Consider the following 27,872-nt stretch of genomic DNA (forward strand, 5'->3'; position numbering starts at 1 on the left):
CTTTGGGGCATGTCTTCCTCTTGTTAAACTTGGTGTCAGTTCTCGGGCATGGAACATCTAGCAGCCAGCTACTGTTTCATCCTGGAAAAGGGGATGGGAATAAAAAACCCAACTCTAGGTGGCGACACAGTTGGTTTTTGGCTTTACCTTCCCCTAGTTTGTAAGCAAGAAGGAGCCTTCAGCAGTGCTGAGGCATTTAACTTCCACTTCCTGTCCCCAAAATGTTCTACACCCAGAGAAAAAGAACAGCCTTAAGGCCAAGTTCTGTCTTTTACCCCTTTCTTCGTCTTCTTTCTTTGCTCCTTTGAGCAAGAGGGTTAAGTCTATGGGTGTCATCTCAGGGGGTTCAAAGAGAGCTTTGCCTGAGGGCCTCTCTGAGGAAGACAGCAAGTGTCAGGTGCTTAATGAATGTTTATGGAAGGAATGAGTGGAGGTCCTCTCTGAAAACAATTTAGGAACATTGATGTTGTCCTTAAACATTATTTAAATTAGTATGAACTTGTTATATTAAATAGTATTTTTGTTTATTTTTAGACTTGTTGACTTTTCGTTTGAGTAAGTAAATTTTCACACTTACAGTCATCCCTTCTATATATGTACAAACACCTAGGGAATAAGGCAGTGTAGAATATTCAAAGGCACATTTTGTTTTGCCGAAGCACCTGCGTGGAATCTTACCCAAATGTCCATTTAAGAGGTTTTCTTTTGTTTAATGAGGGAAAATCTCCGAGGAGGTATACCCCCTACAGCAGATGTCCTTTCTGCTGAAGTTCACAGGTCGAATTTGGGGAGCACAATGGCTGGAGGTCAGATGCCCACTAGGAGATGCTATGATTAATATGTAAGTTATCCCAGATGATTAAGACAGCCAACACCCAGGGGCTGGAGAGTGGGTATGAGGGCTGTGAGGGCGTTCTTCCATAGCAGTAACTCCCCAGCAGAAAGACTGCGAGATGTTGGCCACAAACCCTTTGTCTTGAGCAAGCGCTAAGGGAGCCACTGATGTGTTCTAAGGCCTCTGTCATCTGGACCTGTGGGTTCCAGCCTGGTCACCACCCAAGATTTCCCTTGTGGACTCTGGTTTGCTAATCTTCTGTAATTCATGGAGACTCAATTAATTAAGCAACCTTAATCCCTTTCACTATCATTTTAATGTAACTGAAGTCATCTGTGACTGTCAGGCAGAGCTTTTTCTCACCTGAGATTATCACCTGGCCTCAAGGAACAGATAGAATTCTAGACAAAAGGGAGAGGGGAGTTTTTGTCCTTCCGTGCGGCCTGCGTGATCTCTGAACTTTAGAACTAGCTGGGGAAACTCTCTGCCTGTGAGGAACCCCAGGGCGTCTAATTGGGAACACTGTTCTAGAATGCCCATGATATGATCCAGTGCTCCTAGAAACAGCTATTTTTGCCCTTGGGATTACATTGTTTGAAGGGCCATGCTCTCTCCTTTCCTGTGGGATAAAGGAAAAAGGAGAGAGGCCCAGCTGGCAGTCCATGCCCTCCTGATAAATGTATGGATTGGAGAAGGCGGTGAGGGGGATTTGGAACTCCTTCCTCTGGGGATTTCAGTCTGTTTTCTTCTACTGAACCACAGGATGCAACGAAACTTGGTTTTCTGAAGTCTGTGAAAGGGAGGGAGATCCTTGCTGTGACCCCAGGACTTCTGTGGCCCTCAGCCCCACTACGCCCCTCCATCCCAATTCCTAAAATCTAGGGGTTCCCACCTACCTGAGAAGCAGAATATTTGGCAGTAGTGCCTTTGAAAAGCTGCCTGGGGCTCTGCTCAGTACTTTGTTGGTACTTTAATTCCACCCTCCTCACTTCGTCCCTTCCCTGCCAAATAGATATGTATGCACATTTATCTTTGATGCTCAATATGTTTTGCAAACAGAATAAGCTTCATTTATCCAGAATGATGGGGGGGGAGAATGAGAGGTTATATAGATATTTCAATCCTATGGTTAACTAAGCATTTTTATAAACACTACATATTCCCAATTTTCAAACAATCAGAATATGGTAAAATATATGTTAACACACAAACTCTTTTGAGATGATAACTTTTGTTTGATAACCTGAGAAGCTGGTCCAGGTTTTATAGTAAGTTCAAGTTAATTTTCATTTGTTTTACCCTTATTATACATCATTAATTGATACTGTGGCTGTTCGAACTTTATGATTGTTTGGTTTCTGGATAAATGAGAGCCTTCTGTCTTATGATAAGAAGCTCTTCTGTATGTCTTTATTAACATGCAGTCACATTCTCTTTTGTTTTTTCAGAGAAAGCATGGACACAGACAAAGATGACCCTCATGGAAGGTACCATGAACCTAGTAATTTGAACTTCAGCATCCTTATAGCCATTTTCTTTGCACTGTTACACATTCTGTTACTTGGGGCAGCACCCATGTCCTCAACTGGAGATGAGCAAGGAGGCCGTGAGCCTGTGGGCGCTCACTGTGTCCCTCCAACCCCCAGTCCCCTTGTGTGTCTGCAGAGAGATGACAGGATCAGGCAGAAGAAAACAGCAATGTGTAACTTTGCCATTCATCTCCAGAGAATTATGTTTTTATCTTTTGCTTTTTCCTCCCCCCAGGTTAGAATATACAGAACACCAAGGAAGGATAAAAAATGCAAGGTAAGCTTGGACCTTATTTTGTCTACAAAGCATCCTAGTTCTGGTTGCTTAGAGAGCAGCTGAGGAGGCTCTGCATGTTTGGTCCTGTCTAAGAGTTCTGTTGGGCACTGTCACCTCCTTAGGGAATAGGCAGGTAGTGGGCCTTGGCCGAGGTGGCCTTCTGCCCTCCATGCTCTCCATACTGGCTGGCCTTTACTCTTTGCTGTCTAAGCACCTTTAACCTGAAGTGGATTTGAAGGTAGCAGAAATCAATCAAGGCTCAAGTTTTTCCCCAGTCTTCAGCAGAGAACGTCTTCCTGACTGGAGCGCCCTCCGCAGGAGACATGGCTCAGTGATTTGGTTCCTGGGCTGGGACTTGCCTCTGTCAGGGGCCCCTATTGCACTGCGAGTTGCAACTGAATGCACCACATGGGGCATGCTCGGTGTCTCGAGTAGATTCTCTGCCTGGGTCTGTCCTGCCTCCAGCCACACTTGCTGACCTCTTCCCATTGCGTCCTCAGTTCTTCTGCCGTTAGTACCAGGCTGTGTTCTGAGGCTGCGTCATGACAGACTGATACAGGGGGCTGCAGAAATTGGCTGCCCTAAGGCTTCAAGCTCTTCCCTCGGAGGCCAGCCTTAGCAGGAGCTCCCATGGCTCTGTATCTGCGGCAGCTGCAGCAAACTACATTTCCATCGTTGCTGCACCTCCTTAGGAGGACCATCACCAATGGCAGGTGCACATCAGTCAGTGTCACCCTGCCTCAGCGGGAGGAGTGTGACATTCCTCAGAGGAGGCTCCTGGGGACAGATGTAGCATCTGCTGCACCTAGGTGGGGACCTAGTTTTGATCCAAGGATGACGGCGTTGGTTACTGGGTGCCCTAGTCAGTGAGGCTGTGACTGGAAAGAATTGGTGCCCTGCCCAGGTCACATGGCCACACAGCGGGCTCCTCACAGACCTCAGGGACAGCCCACGGGGCTCTGGATGCTCTGTGCTATGAAGCCACCACCTCCCTTCTCTTTCCTTTCACCCCCATTTCAAAATCCAATTTGACAAAGGCTGAGAGGAAAAGAAACGAGGAGAAATGAACAATTCAGTTTACTCTGAAGAGACAATTTTTGTAGCTTTTCTCCTGAATTCTAAAGATGAGGTAAACATAAAAAAATTAATACTGACCTGGCAGTGAGACCATTTTCTTGGAGACTTTAGTTGAAAAGTCTAATTTTAAACATTCTGCAAATTCTAAATTTGCCTTGTCAGATGAACATTGAAAACAGTTACAACTCATTTATTTTTGTCATCTTTTCTTGATGCTTGGTTACATTTTATAAGAAATCGTTTTTCATATTGTTGTTCAGGGAAGCTCACAGTCAGATTGAAAAGCGGCGTCGGGATAAAATGAACAGTTTTATAGATGAATTGGCTTCTTTGGTACCAACATGCAACGCAATGTCCAGGAAATTAGATAAACTTACTGTGCTAAGGATGGCTGTTCAGCACATGAAAACATTAAGAGGTGAGACCCTGGGCTCTATTGTCCTTTATGTCCTTGCCCACAAATGTTACCACCCTTGCCTAGAATGTTCCTATCCCTAAGGCAGATGTTTATTACTTGCAATTATGTAGCCTTCAGTAGTATGCCTTTACTCTTCAGCAACAGCCGTGATGCCAAATGAAGTGATTATTGAGCTTATGTGGGTTTTGACATGCAATTTTGCAGTCACACATTCTCAGAGCATAGAAACTGTGCTTTGCACGTCTCTGTATATGCATGTAATCAGGCTATGTGCCTATCAGAGATGATACTGCTCTGATGTCTCACATCTTGCCTATGTTTGTGCCTGGATCCCATCCTTACAATTATAACACGCAGAAATGTAGGTGCACACAGTGACACAGAAAAGTCAGTTCAAAGATGAAAATTCATCATGGTTCCTTTGAAAAGTGAGTCATGGGTTGTGGGTTCTCGCGACATTTTGTTGTCAGGAATGAACACTGAAGATATTTTCATCTTCCTGGAATTTTCCCGAACCAGATCCACTCTTTGTGAGGGAGGCAGTATTTTCCTTCTTTTCTGAGTGTGGGGAGGGTGAGAAAACATAGGCAGAAAAGTGGAAGTGACTTATCCAAACCACAAGAGAAATCTGAAATATATCAGGCATTTTAGTGAATGCTGTTCCTGGAATTTTCCATAGCTAGTCTTGGACTTTTGGAGGAAATTGGAAAGTGGGCGCTCAGTCAGATCTCTGACCTGCGTGGTAGAAGAATTGCGTCTTTTTATATTTGCACAAGGCCACCAGAAATAAGAAGTAGCTGGTTTTGTCTGACTTTAGATCATTACCCAAAAATATAAATGTTGTATCCTGTGCTGGAAGAATGGCATTTAAAAATTCATATTAGCAAAGATAACATGGGTTAAATTATTATAAACTAATTTCTATTAAATTGGAAAAAAGTGGCAAATCTCAAGTTACAGTAAAGAGCAGGGATAGGGATCAATAGGATGGTTGCAACACGTCCTGTCTCCTTCCCTCCCCATGGTACTTTGAATTGTTACAGATCCATTTCCTTTTATTCCTTCACTATTCTACTCGCTATTCTACAGACTCCAAATCATTTACTGCTGGCATTTTTCTCTGTTAAGTGATTGTTCTCCTGAAAAATGCCAGATTGACAGCCTTTTAAACCTAAGTCTTGTCCCCTTTCAGTCCTGGGAGTGCGAGCTGCATTGACTGAAGCAATGCATTCCTCCACATTGCCACGCTCGTTTAACTCACCCCTGATGAAGAGTAACTCACATTAAATGCCTTCCACAATATATTTACTCAGGGCCTGGAAGACTGAATGGTTTCCCAAGAACATTTAGAGTGGTGATTTGAAGGACTACCAGACAACCCATTTAATACAGATCTTAGGAGGAGGGAACTCTCTGAGGAGCCTCTACCAGTTTACTTCCAGAGCTGCCTTCTTTCTTAGAAGCAGATTGTTAAACTTCCTTCTATTATCTCTTGGTTTTCCCTGTAATGAGAAAAACAGGCTTGTTAGGTCTCCTGTGGGTAACAGTGTTCTCTCTTCCATGGAATTCTCTTTGGCTTACAGGATTCTGTCCAAAGCCAGATCTAGGCTCATCTCAGTTAAGGCCTAAACAATAAAATTTAAATACCAGGTCATAGAGACTAGGCCACTTACAGAAGGTTTGAGGCAGCAAGTTAGAATGAGACATTTTCTGAATATCAAGTATACCAATTCTTTCTCTTTTTGCCCCTAAGGTGCCACCAATCCATACACAGAAGCAAACTACAAACCAACTTTTCTATCAGACGATGAATTGAAACACCTCATTCTCAGGGTATGTTCAATTATGGGATTGTTTTACAACGTTTGTTTTTATAAATTTTCAAGTAAGTACCAGCATGTGGGAATTTGATGTTTCAACACTGAGCTTTTTTTTTTAGGCCTGCTTCCTCTCTCAGGTCCCTCCCTTTATCTTATTGTTTGGACAGGCTTCACATTTCTTCCACAAAACCATTCTCCTCCTCTTTTAACCTCGTCTAGACAAAAATGGAAGGTCTATGCCACCGCAATTTAAAATCAGAAGAGTCAGGATTTGTTAAAAATAAGGGGGATTTGAGAATCACATTTCTGCATGAAGATTTTAGGAAGGGACTGAAACCAACAACAATTGAGAATTTCTCTTCACCTGATTTAACCACTAGCACAAAAAAGTCCACCTAAATCTTTACACCAAAATCTCATCAAAATAACAAAACTGTGGCTCACGCCTATAATCCCAGCACTTTGAGAGGCCAAGACGGGCAGATCACCTGAGGTCGAGTTTGAGACCAGCATGGCCAACATGTTGAAACCCTGTCTCTATTAAATATATAAAAATTAGCTGGGTGTGGTGGCAGATGCCTTCTTGGGAGGCTGAGACATGAGAATTGCTTGAACCTGGGAGGTGGAGGTTGCAGTAAGCTGAGATCACTCCACTGCACTCCAGCTTGGGCAACAGAGTGAGACTCTGTCTCAAAAAACAAACAAACTTACAAAGACTAGTGGTCCAAAAAAGAAAAATAAATGCAAGAGATATATGCTTTCACCTGCTTGACTTGAGTGCTCTCTCTGTCTTGCTAAATCTCTGCTGGGAGATGGTTGAGGTGGCACTATGGGAACCTGTTGTCTTCCATGAAGAATTAGGTCGGCACAAAGCTCTAAGTTGTGTTACTAGGTAAAGTGAGATTAACTTGGGAATTGAAGGGAAAGAAACTGGATTCAGAAACGTGTTCTTGTAGATTGTAAACAGATGAATAGAAAAACGTAACTAAAAGGAAGGATACCCGCTTCCACCTCCCACAAAGTCAGGGCTGACCTTACCTGCACAGCCAACAGAATCTTCCTACCCATCTTTGAGCAGAAGTTTGCAAAGCTCTAGAGTAGAGGGTAGTCCATCTGGAATTTTGCATCATCACTATCCATTTTCAGCTCTCTATAAGCCTGGCCTGTCTGCTCACTCCAGCATTCTCTATTTATCTCCTCATGACGTGCTATCTCAAATTGGAAAGCATTCACCTGCAAGGACCAGAAGACCTGATGAATAAATAGAGTTTAATTTCTCAAGTATAACTGGTCTGGAGTAGGTTATGTTGGGTTGCTGCAGTGGTTCAATGAGGTCAATAGGAACCAGGTTCTTTGTCTTTGCACTCAGCCACACCAAGCTAGCATGCTAGCTTGTTTCCTTAATGTAGCCAGGTACCTTTGCCAGGTCTAAGTAGCCAGACCCACTGTAAAAACAGGGGTAAATGAAGCTCTAGTCTGGCTGTCCTTTTTATCAAGAAAGGATACACCTTCCTGAAAACTCAACAGTGGACTTCAGCTTATTCAAAAGTGTGTCACTTGGTCACGCCTAGCTGCAGGGCAGGGTGCAGAAACAAGTGTTTATAGATTTTCCAGCCTCCCTGGTGGAGACAGGCAAGAGAGAAGGGGCCTGGGAATGGTGTTGGGAATTGGCTTCCCCAACAGTGTTTGCCACACACACTTTCCAGAGCCACATGCATTTGCTCGATTCCTTCCAGAAGTGACTCCCACAACCCAATATAGTGCTTCAACTGTGGTCTGATTGGCCTGAGGTTGAATGGGACTAGTGCCTTCCTTGCCAAAAAAGCCATCTGATTAGTACTGTATCATTTGGGGCAGCTGCAGTACTGCCTCCTCCCCCTTCTCTCCTGAATATGAATTATTGTTAGGTCAGGTTTTTTACATCTTGTATAGGTGCTTTTTTGAACTTAAGATAGGACTTCTCTTTCATTTCTGTCAAAACCTGTTTGTTGAATGGCCCCACAGTCCAGCTTGTCATTAGTGACCCTTGGAATCTTTGTGTGACTTGTAGATCCAATACATGCCTCTGTGCCTTTCATCCTTGTTTATTCATAAATTCAACAAACATTTTTGTTTACTTACTAGATGCATGGCATTGTTCTAGGAACATCCAAATCAATGATAAACACTTTAGGGTGGGACCAGGCTCCCGATCAAGTGAGTGATAGTCTTTTGGCTACCACTCTCAGGACACAGTTATTCAAACACCCAACTTTGCCCACCTCTCCATCCTTTTCGTAAAGATGTCCGTGTTCTCAGAGAGGATTTGCTGAGGTTAAAATATGACCGATGCCTGTAGCATCTCGAGAGCTGCCGTCGGTGCCAGCTTCATGGGCATGTGACCTCTGCAGTTTCACAAGGCCCCATGCTTGGTTTAATGCCCTGTCACCATCTTGAAAACGTAATTTTTGAACAAGGATCCCTGCATTTTCATTTTGTACTGGGCCCCACAAATTATGTAACTGGTCCTGATTCCCATACTGGTAACAGATCTGCAGCTGTAGATGTGATAGGCCTGCCTCTATGCCTTTCATTCTTGCGTATTCATGAATTCAACAAACCCTTTTGTGTACTTACTAGAGGCTTGGCATTGTTCTAGGAACATCCAAATCAATGACATTTTGGGCTGGGGTACAGGCTTGATTATTTTAAGAAAAAGAATCTATGTCTTTATTTCATATATATATATATATATATATATATATATATATATATATGTAAAATAATTATCAAGCAGAGTCCTGTGGATGGACAAATTTAAAAATAAATAAAACAAGCTCCTTTTGCAGTGGCACGTGCTTAATCGTTTTCTTGTTGCTGCTTTTCTTAATAATTTTCTATCAGATACCCATACTTACCAGGGTATGGAACAAGGATTATCATGCTATCTCAGCTAAATACTTCATGTTGGGCTTGTCTCTTCTACTCCCTTGTTTATGCAGCACTCAAGAGTGATCTCTCTTGCCCGATGAAGGTTTTGTCACCTCTCTAGCACGTGTCAGTGGCTGTGAAATACTGTCCAGTCCCTTATCACTTCCAGGGTCCCAGTTCCAGGGACTTGCTTCCACAGAAAGCCAGGTCTACTCAGATGATGTTCAGACAGTTTGGCCGCAGGAGCTGGACTTCTGCTTTTCCTCAGCAATGCAAAATGGACAAACTGCTTTCTTTACTAAGTGCTTTCAAAATATCTTTAATAAAGTGTATGTCAGGGATCAGTCAACTGTATCAGTTTACAATGTCTACGTTAGTCTACTTCCCCATGTTTTGAAAACTAGGCAGACCGTACCAAGGCCTCTGTGTCTTTTATTAACCAGCACCATCTTCCCAAGAGTGACCCTGCCACTGGCTGGCCCCTGTGGCTCTGTGGTGCTGGTAGTGTTCTCACAGCTTCTGCTCCTTAGCTGTCCTTCGGGCCCGGCTCCTTCACAGATGGTCTGCTGGCCAGGGTGCTATGGAGTTGGAATGTCCAGAGCCTCCCCTCGCTGATGCATTCACTGCTTTGGAACCTGCTGGCTTTCCTCTGGAGTACTGAAATAGCTTTACCTGTGTTGTCGGTTCAGGCCTGACCCTGCCCAGCATTACCTCCAGGGTGTCACAGTTCCCTTCTGTCCAGGTACCTTTCAAGCCACATTGCCACATCAATGAAAAGCCTCAAAAACACTTCCATGAGATACAAGATTATCTGCAAGGCAAACGAGGAAGTTTTTAATACCCTATTTGTTGACAGAATGAGGCTTCCAGCAGATGGTGCTTGGAAAGTTACTTCCCCCTCACTGTCATCCCTTGCCCCTGGGCCAGCTTAGGGACCTAACTTAGGAAAGGATCCTCCCCAGCTTCCTTCTGGCTGAGTAGCCTGCCAGGGTCTTAAGCAACAGTGATTCTGTTCCCCTCTCACTCATTTCTTCTGTCCCAGCACAAGTACATGCACCATTCTTTTACCTTCTGGCACATTAATTCATTTCCTAGTTCTTTGAATTAAACCACATCATGAAGGCCCTTTTGTGGAAAAAGAGAACAGTTTCTCTGTATTTTTCCAAAGAGCAGATTAAGGACCAGTGAATAAGGTGAGAAACTAGTCCACTGTGTATTAGAACGAGGGAGGGCTGAGTCATAAGAGCAAGGGCATGACAGAGTGGGGCACACCCTCCTTGTCACCGGAAGACCCCAGCAGGAGTTGAGTGGTTGTATGTCTGGAAGGCAGTGGGTGGGATTCACACAGCCCAAGCTCTCAGGCACTATAGCTTGGGTATTTACCTGCTTCAGTCTCTTTACCAAATGTTGTCCTATCTTAATGGCTGGCTTTATTGGAACATTTAGATTTTTTCCTGTATTTAAACTGAAGAAGGGGTAAGAAGAATCTAAGCGGGGAGTTTTGCTTTTCTGAATGCAAATAGTCCGGCCCTGGATGGAGGGATAACATTTGAGAGTAGTAGTTCTCAGCCCTATGTACATTAGAATCACATTAACGTGGAAGTGGGATGGGTTTAAAAATACCCCAGTGATCAGCCCCATGCCAGACCATCAGCATAAAAACAAAAACAAAAAACACTGCTCCGAATGTTGAGAACCACTGTTTTAGAGAGCTCCCTGTACGTGGAGGTTTTCAAGTTGAAGGCAGATGATGGCTGAGATGTTGGAGAGGGGATTCTTGAAGAGTCCTTCCAAATCTCAGATTCTCTGACTCTCCATAGAGTTGTTATTATTAGAGCAATGAAATATGATTCTCTGGACCATGATACCTTCAAAAGAACACGTGCAAGCTGAATTCTGCTTTGAAATATAACTTACTTTAATTGGACTTTCTTCCTATAATAATTAGATGATATGCAGAAACACACACACACACACACACACACACACACACACACACAATCTTACAGTTCTTCAGAGACGTTTGTTTTCAGCATCCTGCACTCAGGATATCACTGAAACTGTTAGTGTTCCTGTGCTTTGGATGCTTAGAAAGCACATCCTCTATTTGTTATCAGGGTGATTACAAATTATGTTTCCTACAGTATGAGAAATTGATTATCCATTTCTCCTGATTAGGCAGCAGATGGATTTTTGTTTGTCGTAGGATGTGACCGAGGGAAGATACTCTTTGTCTCAGAGTCTGTCTTCAAGATCCTCAACTACAGCCAGGTATTGTTCATGCTCCTGTTGATGGTGGGCAGCCTCACAGCAGTCAGAAGTGTCACTCAATTTTGTCAGAATAATTATAGTATACAAGTCACATGTGAACTTCTTCCAGAAAATTCTTAACTTCTTAACAGATAAATTAATTTAGACTTAGAACAATCTTGTAATATGTTCCGTATTCCCCCCATTGAAAGATCTGACTCTGATCTGATCGATAGCATTATGGCTTTCTTCTATTGCTGCAAAATAAATATCCCACAATATGTGGCAAGGACAGAGGGTAAGAGGCTATCTGACAAGGGAGAAAGGTAGGCAGGTTAACACAATACCAGAGAATACGTCACTTGGAAATCCACTCCATACTGTGTTTGCAGTGCTGTGTCACTTCTTAGCTCTATTGAACCTCAGTTTACTCTAAAAATTAATGATAACTTATAGGATCAAATAAGAGTAACATTTATAAACGCTTCTAGAACAGAACTTTTCACCTATTATGTCCCCCAGAGTTTTTATTCATTTATTCATTCACTCACACACTGGTATTTGCATGGAAGCTTGGTAGGCAGAAGACTTGAAGAATCAAAATGACATTTATGTAAATTAGAATTAATGTAAATTTAATTTTTCCAAAGATTTCTGCTCTTTTTAGTCTCAGAGCAAAGTTATGGAGGAAGTTGCTGTTATCTCTGTTAATAGACAAGGTGACTGAAGCATATGATATGCGTGACTTGCTTGAGAACAGAGAGGCTGAACAGCAGAGCTGGAATCAGAGCCCACCCCTATCTTCTGCCTTCTGAGGTCTTACAGGGGAATTCCAAGATTGTTGCCTTAGAAGAGCATAAACTGTTTATATAATTGAGGGTTTTCCCGTCATGTTATCAAAACCAACCTCCAGATGCCTCCTTCCTGGTGTCAGGCAAAGTGGTTGGACATATGTACAGGTTCACATAGGAAAAGTTTGAGGTCTCATGCACAAAAACACAAAGGCAACATGCAGACTGTGCATGCTTACTTGTTGCATAATTGATTTTCTGCATGCAATTGACTTGTCATGTTTAACATTTCATCTCCCCAGAATGATCTGATTGGTCAGAGTTTGTTTGACTACCTGCATCCTAAAGATATTGCCAAAGTCAAGGAGCAGCTCTCCTCCTCTGACACCGCACCCCGGGAGCGGCTCATAGATGCAAAAAGTGAGTACCAGAGAGGCCTCGCATTTCCTCAGCAGCCCACTCACAGGCAGCCAACCCTGAGTGAGCAGAGGGCGGGTGTGTGTGATGGGCTCAGCCTTTCCAGTCCTACTTCTCTGTCCTCTTTCTGGGGCACCAGAGCTATCTTTGGCTAAATGGAATTATTTATGTTCTTTGGTCTTTTACATAAAAAGAAGAAAAAAATCTCAATGTCCAAATTTATTGAAAAGAAGAGCTATTTAGACTGGATTCTTTCTGATTTTTAGACTTTTCTTTTTTCTTTCAGAATCTAGAAAATCCCAGTTGTATGCTCCTGAGTTTAAAGGGCTAAGTTTGATTTGTTCTCCCAGAACAAATGGGCTCTATTTACCTGAATTGCACACAGGCAGCCTCATAAAAGTAAGAAAACGTCAACTATAAATATGGTGTTTCTTCAACCAAAGTGTTCCTCCTTAGGTTGGCTCCCCCACCTGGCTTTCTTCTTTTGCAGTAGTGGAACCACCATCCACATCGCTCCCTCTGCCCCCAGCTTCCTGCTACTGCACACACTTCTGTGCAAGGCCCCAGTAGCTGTCATCTACTTTAGTCCTGTGGGAGGCTGTACACTCCTACAGTTAAGAATGAGAGAATGAGGACTCTGGCTGGGCGCAGTGGCTCACATCTGTAATCCCAGCACTTCGGGAGGCTGAGGCAGGTGGATCTCTTGAGGTCAGGGGTTTGCAACCAACCTGGCCAACATGGCAAAACCCCGTCTCTACTAATAATACAAAAATTAGACAGGTGTGGTGGTGCGTGCCTGTAATCCAAGCTACTTGGGAGGCTGAGGCAGGAGAGTTTCTTGAATCCAGGAGGTGGGGGTTGCAGTAAGCTGAGATTGTACCACTGACTGCACTCCAGCCTGGGTAACAGAGCAAGACTCTGTCTCAGAAAAAAAAAAAAAAAAAAAAAGAATGAGAACACAAGGGAGATTACTGGGCTCATTCCGGCTCCACCATTCACTAGCTGTGTGACCTTGAGCAAGTTACTTAACCTCTCTCTGTCTCAGTTTTCTCATTTATGGAAGAGTACCTATTTCTTTGGGTTGTTGTGAGGATTGAAAGTGTTAATGTATATAAAGCAGGCAGAACAGTTCCTAGCACATAGTAAGAACAGTATCAGTGTGGCCTAATGTCTTGCTCCCAAGCTGTCCACGTTAATCCCTGGAAAAAAATACCACCAGATAATCTCCTTCAAGTCATCTCTTTCATTACAGCACACCGCTTGTTCCTAAAAGTAAAATGCAGACTTTGGTATCTGTTGTTCTTTATAGTCTAGCCTTGGCTTTTTTAAGTGACCTTAGGAGAAAAATATGAATGGCATTTGGGCCTTGCCTTTGAGGCTCTTAGCATATAGTCAGAGAAATGAGACAGACAGCACCCTGCATAGTAATAGGTACAGCCATAGAAATAGTGCCAGGCATAGAGAACGGATGATTAATTCTCATGTGGGCGCAAGGACAGGCATCACTGAGTAGATGACAACCGAGGTGGGTTTGAAAAGATGAATTAATGTTTGCCAGGTAATGAAGGGAGGAACAAAGAGGAAACAATCTGTGCACAGGTGCAGGGGTGTGGAGCCACATGGCTTGCTTGGTGCTATTGGACAAAACGTGCACGGAGGGGAAGGGCTGAACCATGAAGACCATTTGTTCTGTGGGGACACAGTGAAGAGCTCTGAGTTGGGTGGGGCAGGCTCGGATTGGCATTCTAGGGGAGATCGCAGAGCTGGCAATGTGGGAGGTAGATGGGATGGGAGGAAGCCCAGAAGGAGCCCTGGGCAGTGGCCATTCCTCGGCACACTTGCTCGTGTGATGGCCATGGGTGTGTTTTCCCTCGGCTTCTGTACTGACACCTAGCCAGTGTTTGGTAAGGAGGTGTGCTCCTCAGAATCACCTGGGAGCTTTTCAACATAGTCATGCTCCACCCCCAGAGATTCTAATTTGGTTTTTCCAGACAGCACAGTCCAATAAAAACATAATGCAAACCACAAACATGAGCCACATATATAATTTCATATTTTCTGGTAGCCAGACTTTAAAAAATAAAAATAAATGTAAAATTAACTCCAAAATATTTCAGCATGTAATAATTATAAACAACTAATAAGTTCGTTCACATTCTTTTATTTTTCTATACTGTCTTTGAAATCCTGTGTGTATTTAACACTTACAGCACATTTCAATTCAGAAAAGCCACATTTCAAGTGCTCAGTACCTGCATGCAGCTAGTGGCTAATGCATTGGACAGCACAGATCTAGAATGGGGTCCAGGAATCTGTAGGTTGATCATGCATCCAGGGTATTCTGGCCTACAAGCCAGGTTGAGAACTTAAGGCAGTCCGGCTCCCACCTTGCCTTCCCAATATCCATATCCTACCCATCCTTCAGTGCCAGCCCAAGTTCCTTCTCCTCTGGGAAGCACAGGTTGTCTTTGCCATTTATTTGGCACTAATCATACATCACCCTGTCCTATTATTAATCTTTTCTTGGTGCACCTCCATTTGCCCTTTGTTAGCCATAAGCGTCTATTGGGCAAGAACCCCATACTATATTTCTTTTCATCCCCAGAGTACCTAATCCATTTATTTAGTAGCACACTCTGTGATTTATAAACATTTCCAGACTGACAACACACCTGTCCATGCTGCATCTGTTAAAGCCTAAACTTGGGAGATATTTATCTCATGTCATCATTATAAAACAGTGAGGCAGGCAAGAAAAGGCTTTGCTCAAGGTCACACTCCCCCTCCTGACAGACAACACTGCTCTCAGTTTATCACATTTTGTGTATTGATTTGCAGCTGGACTTCCAGTTAAAACAGATATAACCCCTGGGCCATCTCGATTATGTTCTGGAGCACGACGTTCTTTCTTCTGTAGGATGAAGTGTAACAGGCCTTCAGTAAAGGTTGAAGACAAGGACTTCCCCTCTACCTGCTCAAAGAAAAAAGGTAACAATTTAACAGTCCATTAAAACCCTGTGACAGGTGAAGCATGCTTTCTGCAGCGGAGCTCTCAGCTGGGCGTTGGTTCCATGGTTTCTGGCTGGCCAGAGTGGCAGGTCCCAGGACTGCAGACAGGACCCTGCAGTCCTCCCTATGTGTAGGGCAGTTGGGAGCAGAGGAGAGAGCTGAAAAGCCTGATGGCAGAGATTTGTGGAGAGGCCTCCTCTGTTTAAATTGTGTTTCTTTTAACATGATTGAGGAAGAATACTCTCAGCCACAATCCTAACTGCCTTATGAACAGCCACCAGTCCACCAAAATTACTCTGAGCTCACCAGTGACCTTGATGTTGTTAAATGCGATGAACATTTTTCCTTTGTCTTCCTTCTTGAAGTGTTCTCTTCTCCTGGATTCCATGAAACCACATTCTTCTTCCTCCTCCCCGACCCCCTGCTGCTACAGGCTCTCTTGCTGGCCCCTTTGCTGGCTGCCCCTCTCTGTCCTGGGCTGCATCTCTGTCTGCAGTCTCTCTCTGTTGGTCATGTCATCTACTCCCTCAGCTTTAAATGCCAACAACTTCCACATTCATATTTCCAGCCTAGACTTGTCTTTTGAACTCCAGATTCATAAATATACTGCTTACTAAATCAACCTGCTTTGGATATCTCAGGGGAGTCTCCAACAGGATACGTGCCGAAGTAATCACCTGAGCCTCTCCTCCAGCATAAATGGCACTGCCATTCAGCTGGCTGCTCATGCTAGAAGCCGGGGAGGTGCCCTCACTTCTGCTTCACCACCCCACTCTTCAATCCCGTTAGTTATGAAGTCCTGCCACAATGAGTCCCATCTGCAAAAGTTCTCTGAAATGTTTGTCCCTTTCCATGCTGCCTACTTTCACTCAGCTCCAGGCTGCCCCCAACTCTCACCAGGTCTCATAAAGTGTAGACCCACATGCTCCCCACCCCCAACACAGCAGCCAGGATGATCTTTTTATCAGTCCCCTTTTAAAAACCCTTCAGTGTTCCCTATTGTTCTTGAAGAAAAGCTCAAAATATTTAACGTGACCATGCAGCCCCCGACCCTGCCACTAAGCACATGTGAGCCATGTTGACTTCCTTTGATGCCTCAAGCCCCTTCTGGGCAATGCTTCTGCACATGCTGTCGCTTCCTGGTTGGAATTTCTTCCCTCTCCCCATGAACTCCCTTCACATGGCTCTCTCCAACCTCAGACTGCCTTATGTCTTATAGCACCCTACTGGTTTGCTTTCTAGTGCTTTCTTATACTTGCTGTTATATAGTTATTTGTGCGATTATTTGTTTAAAGTCTGTCTCCCCCACTAGGCTGTAAACTCCACAAGGGCATGTCTGATTTGTTTTTCACTCTATTCCAGTAACCAGCACAGACTCCACGCTTGGCAGACACTCCATAGTGGTTTGCTTGTTGGTGAAGTCTATAGGTGCTCCACATTTAATGTGTCCCAAATCGAACTATCTTTTTTCTCTCTCTCTCTTCTAGTCTGTTTTCTTTCTTCTCTGAGTCAGTGAATGACACCAGCAACCACCCAATCCAGAAAAGTTAGAGTCATCTTCATTTGTTTCTTTCCCTTAAGCCTGATATTCACAGCAAATCCCAACAGTTTGATCTCAGAAATTTCTCCTGCTTTCTTTCTCTGCTCCCTCTCATCTTCACTGCACTGCCATAGTTCAGTCCTCCTAATCTCTTGCTGTATTATAGCCACTGGCCCCTGAATCAGCCTTCCTACTTCTGTTTTCTACTGTCTTCCAGTTCATACGTCACTCTGCTCCTACAGCATCCAAACCACAATTTGATTTTGCTGTTTCTGCACTTAAATACCTGTAGATGCTCTCCATTTCCTGCCTTAAAAAGACAGACCAACATTGGTTAGAAAGTAATCCAAGGCCCTTTTAATCTTCCTCCAACCTGCCTTTCCAATTTGCCCCTCACTCCCAGTACCTCCAATTTCACTTCAACCACACAGAGCTCTTGGCCAGTTCCTATATAGGCTGTGCCTCTGTGCCTGTGTACGTCATCAGCCTTTATACATTCTAGTCCCTCAGCCACTGCTCATCCTTCTTGATCCACCTCCTCTACTGGTTTTTTGGGGGAGCCTTCCTCTCCCTAGGAAGAGTTAGATATTCCTTCCTTGGTGTATGTAATGAATGTCCATGGTATAACTGGCCCTACTTAAGCATTCTGACACTGGATGACAGTTTGTTTCTCTTTCCGTCTGCCCCTTTCATTAGATGCTTACTTCTGGAGAGTGAAGCCTTGATTTTTTTTTATTTTTTGACTCCCTACCTACATCCCATCCCACCATCGGCCGTGTACACCTCCATGGCCCAAACCTAGTGCTGACACTAACCACGAACTTTGCTTTCTAGCAGATCGAAAAAGCTTCTGCACAATCCACAGCACAGGCTATTTGAAAAGCTGGCCACCCACAAAGATGGGGCTGGATGAAGACAACGAACCAGACAATGAGGGGTGTAACCTCAGCTGCCTCGTCGCAATTGGACGACTGCATTCTCATGTAGTTCCACAACCAGTGAACGGGGAAATCAGGGTGAAATCTATGGAATATGTTTCTCGGCACGCGATAGATGGAAAGTTTGTTTTTGTAGACCAGAGGTAAGAGTCTACATACTACCCTTGAGCAATGATGGTAGAGGATTTTCAACCCTGATCTAAAAAGCAGAGAAGACTGGGCCATCAGCTGGCTTTTCTAAGAATGAAGAAAGAAAGAAAAAGCTGGGTGCAGTGGCTCACACCTCAAATCCCAGCACTTTTTGAGGCCAAGGTGGGTGGATCACTTGAGCCCAGGAGTTTGAGACTAGCCTGGGCAACGTGGCAAAACCCTGTCTCAACTAAAAATACAAAAATTAGCCAGGCATGGTGACACATACCTGTAGTCCCATCTACTCTGGAGGCTGAAGCAGGAGGATCAGCTGAGCCTCGGGAGGTCAAGGCTGCAGTGAGCTGTGATTGCACCACTGCACTTCCGCCTGGGCAACAGAGTGAGACCCTGTTTCAAAAAAAAAGAGACAAATGATGAGAGTCTCTGTTAAAAAATGAGATTCAATAGGATATCATCATAAATACAGAGATTTTTCTGTCATTCTTTGGCATATAGAGACAATTAAGTGGGGTGCCTTGATGTCCATGGCTAAAAGAAAAACAGTAGGGATAGCATGCTGTCTGAATCTATGGAATGTTCCAGAACCATTATTGTGATTGAAATTCTTTTGAATCTAGGACTTGGAAGCAATTATTTAGTCCTGAGCTGTCCAATAAAATACTCGTTGGCCATGGTAGCCTCCCATGTGGCTAACGGCACAGACATAGAACATTTCCATCATCACAGAAAGTCTTGTTGGACAGCGTTGATCTAATCCAACCTCCTTATTTTATGGATGAAGAACAGAGGCCAGCCTGGGGACTGGTCTCCTGTAGGATTCACAATTAATTGGTAATAGACCTGGACCAAGGACCCAGGTGTCCCAAATTTACTGCTGCCTACTGCTTTCCCTCAGAATATGCACAGGCTAATAATTTTTCTGGCTACTAGAGACAGCCACAACATGCTGGAAAAAGAGACAGCCTCAGCTGTCTTGTGGCCTCAGCTGCTGCAGCTTCTGGCATTTGGTTGTCCTGATAAAAAGGAGGCAGCAAAAACTAGAAGCCTTGCACTGAGGTTTAGATTTATACCACATTTTAATCTAATTAATGTGGTTCCTTTTTTAAAGACAGATCTCAGTCTGTCACCCAGGCTAGATCTAGTGCAGTGGCGAGATCTTGGCTTACTGTAGCCTTGACCTCCCGGGCTCAAGCAGTCCTCCCACCTCAGCCTCCCAGGTAGCTGTGACCATAGGCATGTGCCACCATACCCAGCTCATTGTTCTGTGTTTTTGGTAAAGACAGGGTTTCACCATGTTGCCCAAGCTAATCTTGAATTCCTGAGCTCAGACAATCTGCCCAACTCGGCCTCCCAAAGTGCTGGGATGACAGGCATGAACCACCATGCCCGACTGGTTGCAATTTTTAAAGCCCCCTCAGATTTGATTTCTTGTGATAATAGTCCCTTTACAAAGGCTTTGCTCTGTTTCCCTCTATTTTTATAGCCTTGATTAAATTCAGATGCCTGAAAAAAAGAGAGAAAGATCCACACAGTGAGCCCTCTGAAAATCCATCCAGCTCTTTTGCCTGCAGCTTTGACCTTGCTCTCATAGGCTGTAGCAGGGTTTATCCATTGCAAAGTTGCAATTAATCATCTGAATGGCTTTTTCTTCTTTAAATATTCCTTTATTCCCTTTTAGGGCAACAGCTATTTTGGCATATTTACCACAAGAACTTCTAGGCACATCGTGTTATGAATATTTTCACCAAGATGACATAGGACATCTTGCAGAATGTCATAGGCAAGGTAAGCTAGGATGTATGAAAGATCTTAAGTTGAAAGTGTCCCCTTGCTTCTAGACTAGTCAACATGACCTTCCAGGGAAATCTGTCCACTGAGGATGTAGAGTCAGCCAGCCTAGGACTCTTCAGGTCAGAACATCTGTGTGAAGAGGAAGCTGATACCTGCAGGCACTGTTTATCCCCCTTGTAGTTGCCCTGTGCTGACTGCATGGCAGTTTCTGAAAGACATCTCTTGTTCAGAGGGTTTTCCCAGACCCTGTAAAGATTTAGTATGGCCCAGACTGATCTGATTCTCTTTTCCATTCAAGCCTGCACTACCTCCTGTGTTTTCTGTCTTGACTAATGCTGTGGCTTCATGTGCAGGCTCCTGAGAGAGACCAACATTGACCCCTTCTTTCACTGTGTCTCCACCAGATCCTGTTCATTCACCTCAGACATGCATTTCCAAAAGTCTACTTTTTACCACCTCTGCCATCACCCTGGTTCAGGCCCTCGTGCCTACTTAGAGACCTGTGATAGACTTCTCAGGGTTTCTCTGATCCCTCTCACCCCCAGTTCATCTTCCATAGTTATCCTATTTATCCCCAGATAGATTGAGCCTGGTAACATCAGCCTGCTTAAAAACCTCCTGCTTTAGACTCAAGCCCAAATGCTTTTGACAGGCAATCAAATGTGAGACCTTCCACCTTCTGGCCCCAGCCCACCTCCTCAGTTTCAGTCCCCATCCCTGCCTGCAGAGGCCTGTGCTCCAGGCACACTGACCTCACTGGCCTCTCCCCAACCAGACCCTGCTGCTCCTCAGGCACTGCTGGGTTCTTCCCTCCCTCCTTCTCTTGGCAAACTCGTGTTCATCCCTCAAGGCTCTGATCTCTTCTCCCTGTATAGCCTTCCCTCACTACTCTTCTTGAGGGCAGGAGTCATAGCCTGTCTCCTCTTGTATCTCCAGTGCCTGGCACATGAGAAGGGCTCATTACATGTTACATGAAAGAATGAGGTTGAATAGGTGAGTAGCCTCTGTTGATTTGGATGTTCTTAGAAATGAGATAAGTTCTATATTGCCCTTGGGCTTTGTGATTGAGATAAAGCATGACATTTTGGACAGTGCCTTCTCATTTGCTGGTGGTCATGTTAGAGCTGATTCCAGTTAGATGTATAACATGCAGTCAGTAATTCCCTAGAGCCTCAATTTTACAGACTATGGAAAATCATGACAGCTTCACAAATGAATTGAAAGGCTCTGAGTTAGACCCTCAGAAACAACCTATTTCCTGAGTGTTGACCACTGCAGTTTCCTTGGCTTACTAAAGAGCGATGTCGTTGGAGCTCAAGTACCTTTAATATTTTGTATTGGATGTCCTGTTTAATACTTTGGTCTGAGAAAACAACAATGTCCATGTTTTCTTTACATTTTCAGTTTTACAGACGAGAGAAAAAATTACAACTAATTGCTATAAATTTAAAATCAAAGATGGTTCTTTTATCACACTACGGAGTCGATGGTTCAGTTTCATGAACCCTTGGACCAAGGAAGTAGAATATATTGTCTCAACTAACACTGTTGTTTTGTAAGTACTTTTCCTATATCTGAAGCTCCCCTTGCTTCAAACAGATGCCTAGGGTTCCTCATCTGGGAAATGGGGTGCAGGCAACATCCAGTATCACATCCTTTAATGCCATCTTGCTAATACCTGTGAAGCCTCAGGACTGGCAGAAGCTAGAAAGGATTGTTAACAAAGGGACAAGCTTCAGGACTTGTACCATGCAGGCCCTGGCTTATGAAACTGCTCCAGGAAATAGCAACATTTCCTTCCAGATAAAGCAGCTAACCTTTGAATTCCACAGGCCCTGCACCCTAGGCATCCACTTGTGCTGCTGTGGAGGAAGGGGTTGGCAATCTATGAAAGGCTCATTCAGGCACTAGCTCACACTGGCCTTGGCTGAGGATGGGGAGGTCTCCATACCTGTCAGGCAGGGGGCCCAAGCACTGGCAGCTGGAATGCCATCTCAAAAGGCTGCTACCTGCTAGATGAGCAGAGGGAGGTGAAGGAGCCTCTCTTTGGCCAGGCCTGCTCCCCACTTTTCCTTCCCCATAGTGTCCAAAACCCCACCTATGGTAAGAGCTGTGTGAGGGGCCGGGGCTAGGTGCACTGCAGGCTGGCAGGAGGAGGTGCTGTAATGATGGCAGTAGGTTACTGCAGCCACCACCTCTGCTGAACTGTGTCCCACACATATTAGGAAGGCCTAGGCAGGCAGTGGGGCCAAAGGCCAGGATGCTATCCATTATATTATCAAACAGTGAGACCTGTTTACCCACTCAGACAGACACTTCATTTTCTGGCCTGTCCAGGTCCAGAGTGGACACCGGACACCTTGGCCAAGTTGAATGGTGCACAGTTCTGAGCAGGCCTGACTCACGTTTCCTTATTGCTGGGATGTTCACAGAGCCAACGTCCTGGAAGGCGGGGACCCAACCTTCCCACAGCTCACAGCATCCCCCCACAGCATGGACAGCATGCTGCCCTCTGGAGAAGGTAACTATGTGCTGCTGGGGCCCTGGGGCTTGCCCGTGGGAAGGTGCTTGTGGTCAAATATCCTCCCCTAAAGTATTCAGGGTCCCCTCCATTCATATTCTGTGGAACAAGGGAGGCCTCGAGGGGATGATGTGCGGATTTCCCCATGAATGCAGAGGACACTGTCATGTCACTTTCTCTGTTGAGCCGGAATACTAGGAGCTCACTGCTGCACTTCCCAAAGCTGCTGGCCCCTGGAAGCCCTTGAGCTCGCAAACTCCCTACTCCCCTTGTGCTTTCCTCCTGTGTTGGCTAGTGGCCATGATGTGAAGTGCTCTTTCGTGACTGTCACTAACTCCTGTGGTTGGCAGGCAGGTGTCTTTCGGCACCAGGGTGTGTACCATACCCACTGGGCTCCCTTCTCAGGCTCAGCCTTGGCCCTGCCCCTGCTGTCCACGCTGGACTCATCCTTCCTGGGACCATCCCCACATGCATGGCTGCAGCCCCCATCGATGACTCCCACATCCACATCTCCTGGCCCAGTCTCTCTCCCGAGCTCCAGATCTGTCTCTCCAAATGCCTCATAGACAGAACCACCTGGAGTCTCAGAGGCACCTGAAATTCAGAATATCCCAAGCTGATTTTCTGCACTCCCCTACCTGATTGGTTGTTTAAGCCAGAAACCTGGCTGTTGTCTCTCCCCCATTATATCTAAACACGGAGTCCTGAACCTTCTATCTCTTAAACTTCGTCACCACTATTGCTATTTCACCCTCCTCATCTGCTGCCTGGATTATTGCAAATCACTTCGCAACTCTAGTCCCCCTCTCCCCACCCCATCCTCCATTGTAGTTCATTCTCCCTGCCGTGGACTTTCTAATAACCCAGTTCTCATTTGTGCCTTTTCTGTGTATCGTCCTTTGGTACTCCTCATTCCCTTGTGGAAACTGTCCAAATTCGTTAGTACGGCATCCAAGAGGCCCCTCATGATCGGATTGGTACCTGCTGCCCCAGTTTCATCTATCATGCTCTCATCATCATTTATGATGAATTCCTTGGAGGAGTCTCCCAAGTTTTAACCTGCCTCAGTGCTCCTGCACGTGTTGGTTGCTGTGCCTGGAATGCTTTCTCCTCCTTACCTCTCTGCCAAGCTAATTCATATTCATCTCTCAAGACTCAGCTCGGGGTTAACTTGCTCCAGAAGCTGCACCTGGCCCCAGATGAGTTGGTTGCCTCGTGCTTGCCTGTCAAACTTACAACATTTTGCTTTAGCCATTGTTCATCTTGTTGGTTTTCCTGTTAAACTGTGAGCTCCTTGAGGGCAGGGACTTGTCTCTGTAACCCTGGCACATACAGTGGTCTTCAATAAACGTTTTTTTTCAGTGCATGAAGGGAAAGAATTAGATGCTGTATGAAGGGAAAAAACTGGCCTCAGATCCTAGAAGGAAACTTGAGCCTTTCCCTGCTGGAATGCCTTTTCCTGACAAGCTGTAGCCCTAAAGTCCCTCAAGGCACAACTCTGATGTTGAACTGCAAATGGATCATGGGATAAACTGGTTTTACTTTAATACATAATAGTATTTCTTCCTCAGTTTTCCCCTTTCCTACTCTCAGATTCCTTTGTTGTAGGTGGCCCAAAGAGGACCCACCCCACTGTTCCAGGGATTCCAGGGGGAACCCGGGCTGGGGCAGGAAAAATAGGCCGAATGATTGCTGAGGAAATCATGGAAATCCACAGGCAAGTAACACCTTCTAGTTCCTCTGTTAAACCAGTGGTTCTCAACCCAGGGAAATTTTTTCCCCCAGGCAATATTTTGCAATGTCAGGAGACATTTTTGGTCTTCACAACTGGGTGGGAGGTTGCTACTTAAACATCCTGTGGATAGAGACCAGGGATGCTGCTTGTTAAACATCCTACAGTAAACAGGACAGTTCCCTCCTCCCCACCCAACAAAGAATTATCCAATCCAAAATGTTAGTAGTGCCTAGATTAAGAAATCCTGCCTTAAATAAAGAAGCTAAACCAAAATAGCCCAGCGCTAAAGAGAATTCTTGAGAAGACTTAACTTTCTTATGGCTCAAGGAGCTTCTCAGTGCGGATAGATGTACCTTTACTTTACAGGAATGCAGGAGTAGAGCTGTGAACTATCAGAGTGATCTGGACCTTAACAAAACATTCACTTTTTTTCAATCAAAGAGCTGCCCAGGATTAGTACTAGAAACCAAGCAGATCAGCTAGTTATTACTAGCTGTCTTGGGAGAGACTTCCTTTCCATATGAAAGAGAAGGAGCTTAGAAGCAGTCCACCTGGGTCTGAGTCCTGGGCCTGTCTCTCTACCTGGCTATGCTGAGACTTACTTAACCTCTTGCTCTCTGTTGATTTAAACCATAAAAAGAAAGCACTATTTCCCAAGAATTGTGTTAGGATTGTGAGGGCACTCAGGAAAGTTCCAGGAACACAGCCTGACATATAGTGAGTGCTTAAAAATTAATTAAATCTGTCTTTAAGAGCAGTCGAGAGGGAAGCAGTTATCATAAGTCTGTCCAAATTTGGGGAATAGAGAAGGTGGTAACCAGATTCTTCAGAACGAAACTTAATGTAACATAAGAAAAGGAAGAAAACACTGCTGCCGCTGGATTCTCTCAGGAGAATTAGAGGCTGGCCTGTTTTCCAATTGGCCATAAAGGGGCTGTTATCCCCCTATAGGTAACACAGCTCTTTTCCAACCCCACAGGATTAGTGGGTGTGACTTCTGCATCAGGAAGGAGACATGAGGGTAGTGTGCAGTGTAATCAGGTTCAAACCCTATACTTTGCATTTGCATACCCTGTATTTTGCTTGAGACCATCCAAGAACAGTATCAAACAGTCCTTGACCTCAAGAATTTTAAAATCTTTTATAAGTCTATTTTCTTTATGATAACAGGAAAAAGGGAGGGTGCATGGGCCAAAGCAAGCAAAAGAGGAAAGATTTGAACTTGGCCTTAGCCAGGGTTTGCAATAAGAGTGGATGTTCCCTCTAGAAAAGCCAGGGCTATTCTTGAGTGGGCATGTGAGTGGCAAATTCAGGGTCAAGAAACAAGCTACCTAACTGGGCAGGCTTTGTGTAGGAAGGAGACACAGAGCTATGATAGGCGATTAAGAAACACAAGAAATGATACTGTGCAGTTTGGAAGAAACCTGTAAGACCCCATTTGTTGTAGGATGCTGAACAAGCATCCAAAGTCTTGTGTTACGCTTTGTGGAAGTTGCATTGGAATAGGGAGAGATGAAGGTGGGCATGTTTGACAACTCAGGAATGAGGCCTTATCCTACAGAGATGACACTGCCAAAAGAGAAATCAATCATCTAAGGTCTAGCGTTTGAAGATGAAATCAGGAATGATGAAACAGCAATTCCAAGATGAGAAACCTGGGAAAATAGTGGTTTCATAGACATAAGTAGAGAAAGGTGGGGGACACTCAGCAATTTTTCCGTAAGCAATTAGCAGCCGTTTGTGCATGCTGAGAATACATGATATGTAGTTGTAAACTGCCGTTAAGAAGCTTCTAATCCAGAAAGAAAACTTGTTCACTCATAAATCTAGAGAACTAGGCAGTACAAGAACCAAAAGACTTCTGGGTGGTGGAGGAGTGGTCTCTGGGTCACCCAAAAGCTACATTCATCCATGTAGGAGCTGAGAGTCCTGTGGTTACACAACTGCCATCACACTCTCCCTAAACTGTAGCTGCAATGCCAAGTGATGGATTCTTTCCTGAGGTCCTTCAGCCTGACAAGTATTTAGGTGGATTTACAGTTCTAAGTCTTCCCTTCTATAAATCTTCTGAGAGATATGCTAGATAAGAAAGGCCTGGACCCATTTTTCATCAACCACTGCCTTCGAAGGCTGCTTTTCCTGTCACTACTACTAGGCTACCTTTTAGACCCTGGTGCCGTCCATGTCCTAAGAGTATTCACTAGCTAAACAGTGTTTGTGGAGAAGGGGACAAATTGTTTTCTGTGGATCAAAGATGGAGGTTGATCTTAGAAGTTCTCCTCCAATTCACCTGGATTCTGTGAGGAAATAAAACTGGCCACTTACTTGAAATTCACCAACTGAATGCAAACTCCAATCCAAGGGCTTTGTCAGTGAGATGCTTGACTCTAGGGACTGCATTCTAGATCAGGTGCCTGTAGAACAAATCCAGCTTGTCATCTGTTTTTGTAAATAAAGTTTTATTGGAACACAGCCACACCGATTCGTATCTGTGGCTGCTTTCAAGCTGCAGAGGCAGAGTTGAGCATTTGTGACAAGACACCATATGGCCTAGAGAGCCTACTATCTGGCCCCTTACAGAAAAAGCTTGCCAAACCCTAATCTAGATCTTCATCCCCTTTCTCACCTTTACCCCTTAACAAAGCACATACACTCCACTGAAAAAAGAAAAGGCAGTGTAATTCTCTTTTCTGACAGGATAAGAGGGTCATCGCCTTCTAGCTGTGGCTCCAGCCCATTGAACATCACGAGTACGCCTCCCCCTGATGCCTCTTCTCCAGGAGGCAAGAAGGTAAGACTGATGATTCTTAGCCTAAGCTAGAGAACCTCTTGCCCAAGATCTGAAATGTTGGGGGTGGGAGTATGGAATTGCAACTGCGATTGCTGAAACAATTTGGACTACTTCCTCCTTGAAGTAAATGCATCTGTGTGAGGCTGGATACAAAGCATACTGGTAGGGCTAGGGAGGCTTGCTGACATCCTCAGAGGCTTTCTTCCATGTGAGTGGAAGAAGGGAGAAAGAATAAGGAATGGGGAACTGTCAGTTCATTTAATTGAGGGAGCAATTCAAGAGTTCCCATGAGGGAAAGATTATTGAGTACCTCACATAGAAAAGTTTCTCATTTTCTGCCAGGAATTTTCAAGGGAGAAAATATTAGTGTCTAGGGCAGGCAATGGAAACAGCAATGCCACCAGCAGTGCTTTGGAAATCAAGCCATGCTTTATAGCTGCAGAATACTTGGGGATCTGCTGCCTGGGGGTTCCATTGGTGTGACAGCATTGGATCCAAGCAGTGGATCAATCACCAGCCCTCATGAAGAGCTTGCTATAAGACTACACTATAAATAGGTTTAGGAACCAGTCATTTGTTTTCATCTTTGCTGGAGAACTTATAAGCCTAGGCCCATCTTAATCGTAAATTATAAATCTGTTTATATTGCCTGATGCCAGTAGAGCTTAGGACAGTTTAAAGGCCATCATTTTGGACACAATGGCTTCCTTTCCCCATCTCCTAAAACAGAGAGAGAGAATATCAGGAATTTCCATAGGCAGGACTCCTAGGGCACAAACCATCAAAAGCAGGGCAAGGATTTTCAAAACTGAGCTCCTCGGAGGTTTGTTCAGGTTACCAAGAGCTGTGGTGTTACCAGGTGGGATGGGCGTGGGGATAGTTGCTAAGGAGAGAGGGTAAGAGTAGAAATCCTGCTTCTACAAGGGCAGCAATACTTCTTTTTTATACAGGAATCTTCTGCAAACATTTCTATTTGAAAAAGCGTTTTGCTCCCCCCAAAAAAGGTTGAAAGTTAACAAATTAATGGGTAAGACTACAAAGTAAGACCTGGGTTCGAAGCTTGGCCTTGCCAT

The 27,872-nt window shown here is 44.5% G+C and overlaps 1 protein-coding gene and 1 long non-coding RNA gene across 50 annotated transcripts in view, besides 2 other annotated features; one reads left to right on the top strand and one right to left on the bottom strand.

The window, feature by feature from the left end:
• Window positions 1-5,504, bottom strand: LOC124902636 (uncharacterized). Of its 2 annotated transcripts, none has more exons than XR_007062601.1 (3): window positions 5,419-5,504; window positions 1,732-1,836; window positions 1-81 (listed from the first exon to the last, which is right to left on the bottom strand). It is a non-coding gene; the product is annotated as an uncharacterized LOC124902636 (long non-coding RNA). The 2 variants fall into 2 exon arrangements; XR_007062600.1 differs by lacking the exon at window positions 5,419-5,504 and adding an exon at window positions 3,797-3,885.
• BMAL1 (basic helix-loop-helix ARNT like 1) overlaps window positions 1-27,872 on the top strand; it is a 110,615-nt gene that overhangs the window by 77,804 nt on the left and 4,939 nt on the right. For 9 of the 48 annotated variants that reach the window (XM_017017738.3, XM_047426953.1, XM_047426952.1 and 6 more), the window contains 13 exons: window positions 2,284-2,322; window positions 2,600-2,641; window positions 3,979-4,136; window positions 5,890-5,969; window positions 11,045-11,137; window positions 12,210-12,327; window positions 15,163-15,312; window positions 17,708-17,954; window positions 19,640-19,746; window positions 21,157-21,307; window positions 22,185-22,273; window positions 23,867-23,990; window positions 26,706-26,799. In XM_017017738.3, the coding sequence (XP_016873227.1) occupies window positions 2,284-2,322; window positions 2,600-2,641; window positions 3,979-4,136; window positions 5,890-5,969; window positions 11,045-11,137; window positions 12,210-12,327; window positions 15,163-15,312; window positions 17,708-17,954; window positions 19,640-19,746; window positions 21,157-21,307; window positions 22,185-22,273; window positions 23,867-23,990; window positions 26,706-26,799 (1,492 nt within the window). Of the gene's footprint in view, window positions 1-74; window positions 842-2,283; window positions 2,323-2,599; window positions 2,642-3,978; window positions 4,137-5,889; window positions 5,970-11,044; window positions 11,138-12,209; window positions 12,328-12,610; window positions 12,724-15,162; window positions 15,313-17,707; window positions 17,955-19,639; window positions 19,747-21,156; window positions 21,308-22,089; window positions 22,274-23,866; window positions 23,991-26,705; window positions 26,800-27,872 lie in introns of those variants that run through there. The other 39 variants (NR_147787.2, XM_017017739.3, NM_001297719.2 and 36 more) reach the window with 20 other exon arrangements.
• Window positions 3,339-3,903: an enhancer, noted in NCBI's record as "H3K27ac-H3K4me1 hESC enhancer chr11:13379341-13379905 (GRCh37/hg19 assembly coordinates)". NCBI's record gives its function as "activates a minimal SCP1, AML or CMV promoter by ChIP-STARR-seq in primed H9 embryonic stem cells {active_cell/tissue: H9 hESC(primed)}" and the evidence as "EXISTENCE:reporter gene assay evidence [ECO:0000049][PMID:30033119]".
• Window positions 9,689-10,449: an enhancer, noted in NCBI's record as "NANOG-H3K27ac-H3K4me1 hESC enhancer chr11:13385691-13386451 (GRCh37/hg19 assembly coordinates)". NCBI's record gives its function as "activates a minimal SCP1, AML or CMV promoter by ChIP-STARR-seq in naive H9 embryonic stem cells {active_cell/tissue: H9 hESC(naive)}" and the evidence as "EXISTENCE:reporter gene assay evidence [ECO:0000049][PMID:30033119]".

The sequence above is a fragment of the Homo sapiens genome, chromosome 11 (assembly GCF_000001405.40).
Source record: "Homo sapiens chromosome 11, GRCh38.p14 Primary Assembly".
Taxonomy (NCBI): Eukaryota; Metazoa; Chordata; class Mammalia; order Primates; family Hominidae; genus Homo; species Homo sapiens.